The sequence below is a fragment of the Homo sapiens genome, chromosome 1 (assembly GCF_000001405.40).
Source record: "Homo sapiens chromosome 1, GRCh38.p14 Primary Assembly".
In the NCBI taxonomy this organism is placed as follows: domain Eukaryota; kingdom Metazoa; phylum Chordata; class Mammalia; order Primates; family Hominidae; genus Homo; species Homo sapiens.
The window spans coordinates 156,711,332-156,713,861 of NC_000001.11; the positions used below are offsets into that span (position 1 = coordinate 156,711,332).

Below are 2,530 nucleotides of genomic sequence, written 5' to 3' on the forward strand. Positions count from 1 at the left end.
GGGCAGCATGAACAAAATGGGAAAAAGATGTGTGAGGTGGGAAGCTCTGATTTCCTTTCCCCTGCAGGCGCCAGCTCTGGAAAATGTTAGCTGTCAAAGAGAGACTGAACAGTCTCCCACCTCCCCCTGCCCAGTACTCCTACCCCATCCCATCCTCCAGGGCCCCCCAGCCTGCCCGGATTCCCAAAGGGCACTGAGCTAAGGCCTGTGAATTTCAGAGTGAGCCAGGCTGAGAATGCAAACCCGTCTCAGGAAGCCCCCAACCTCTCCCTGCCTGTGATTCCTCTAACAACCTGGAGCTAGGCATCCAAGTGGGTGCTTTGGAACTTGAGGATCCACAGGGACACATCCCTGGGGGATCAAAGGAGCCAGCAGCTCCTGAATTTCACAGCTGCCAAACTCCTGCCACAGTCTCAGCGCCCTAAATCCCAGAGCTAAGGGACTGTCAGTGCCAGGTTTCCAGGTTTCCAGATGATCTGGGTATTTGTTTGTTTGTTTGTTTGAGACAGTCTCACTCTGTTGCCCAGGCTGGAATGCAGTGGCACAATTGTAGCTCACTGCAGCCTCAAACTCCTGGGCTCAAGTGATCCTCCCACCTTAGCCTCCTGAGTAGTTGGGACTACAGGCATGCACCACCATGTCCAGCTAACTTAAAAATTTTGTTTTTTTTATAGAGATGGGGTCTCGCTACGTTGCCCAAGCTGGTCTCAAACTCCTGGCCTCAAGCAATCCTCCCACCTCGGCCTCTCAAACCGTTGACATTACAGGCAGACATGAGCCACTGCACCTGGCCTGATCTGGCTATTTGGTGGATCAGTCTTCCCACTGAGCCCATAGTAACTATCCTAGAGAGGGAGCCCGCCAGATCCAGGACACTCACTGGGTGCACCTTTCTTGTTGCTTGAGGGCACTTATGGTCTCTGTGGGCCAAATCTCCTCATAAGCTATCTGACCGTCAGGTGCTGGTCTCCCAGGAGTCCCAGGGAATTGATTCCAAAGCTGGGAAGAGGCAGTCCCTGCGGTAGAGTGGAGAGAGAGAGAGAGAGAGCGCATGCATGTGCACATGTGGCTGAGGAAGCCACCAGAATACTCTGCCCTTGCCCCAGTCCTGGCCCCATCGTTCTCACCTGAACTCCACCCTCCTACAATTCAGGAAACCTCCCCAAGAACTACCCATTCTGCCCGCCCAGCTGGGAGAGCCAGCCACAGCCCTGGGTCTAGCAGTGCTGGCTGGATTGTCTGCCTCTACCTCCCTATCGGCCCTGGTGTGGGTTCCCTCTCCCTCCCCAGCTCCCAGGGCAGGGACAGTCAGTTGCCTTCTTCCTCCTTCAGTTATGGTTTGGATCCCTTTCATGAAATCTTTCCAAAGAAGCGACCAAGCAAGATTCCACAGGGTGCAAGGGAGTAAAGGACCTGACTTTTAAGGAAGCTGCCTCTGGCCTCGGGGAACCAGATGATTGATGATTTACATTTCTGGTGCAGCTATGAGCTCTGGCAGGCAGGGTCAGGGTCACAGGCGTGGGCCTGGGAAATGAGTGGCACTTACTCTGGGCCCAGCACTGTGCAAGAGTTTCCATATGGTGTCCTGGGTGTGTCTGATTCCAAAGCTTTGCTTTTAAACACTTCAGAATGGAATTTGGTTGAGCCTGGAAGAGGATTAAGGTGTGCTTGTCCTTCCATGCCAAATTCTTAAAAACACCTTCTCTCTCCACACTTCCCCACCTCTCCAAATCCTATGCATTGTATGTACCCTTTGAAAGAAAGCATAGAGGCTGGGCGCGGTGGCTTACCATGTAATCCCAGCACTTTGGGAGGCCGAAGGGGGTGGATCATCTGAGGTCGGGAGTTCGAGACCAGCCTGACCAACATGGAAAAACCCTGTCTCTACTAAAAAATACAAAATTAACTGGGCATGGTGGCACATGCCTGTAATCCCAGCTACTTGGGAGGTGGAGGCAAGAGAATTGCTTGATCCCAGGAGGTGGAGGTTGCAGTGAGCCGAGGTGACGCCACTGCACTCCAGCCTAGGTGACAGAGTAAGACTCTGTCTCAAAATAAATAAATAAGTACCTAAAATAAAATAAAAATGAAATGGAGAGGCCGCCTAGGTGCGGTGACTCACGCCTGTAATCCCAGCACTTTGGGGGCTGAGGCGGATGAATCACTAGGTCAGGAGTTCAAGACCCAGCTGGCCAACATGGTGAAACCCCGTCTCTACTAAAAATACAAAAATTAGCTGAACGTGATGATGTGTGCCTGTAACCCCAGCTACTCAGGAGGCTGAGGGAGGAGAATCGCTTGAACCTGGGAAGTGGAGGTTGCAGTGAGCCGAGATTTTGTGCCATTGCACTCCAGCCTGGGCAACAAGAGCGAAACTCTGTCACAAAAAAAAAAAAAAAAAAAAAATGGCCATTGTGTGGTAGCTGCCGCCTGTAATCCTAGCACTTTGGGAAGCTGGGGCAGGCAGATCACCTGAGGTCGGGAGTTTGAGACCAGCCTGGCCAACATGGTGAAACCCTGTCTCTACTAA

General features: G+C 52.3%; 1 annotated feature.

Moving 5' to 3' along the window:
- Nucleotides 1,762-2,277: an enhancer, noted in NCBI's record as "H3K4me1 hESC enhancer chr1:156682885-156683400 (GRCh37/hg19 assembly coordinates)". NCBI's record gives its function as "activates a minimal SCP1, AML or CMV promoter by ChIP-STARR-seq in naive H9 embryonic stem cells {active_cell/tissue: H9 hESC(naive)}" and the evidence as "EXISTENCE:reporter gene assay evidence [ECO:0000049][PMID:30033119]".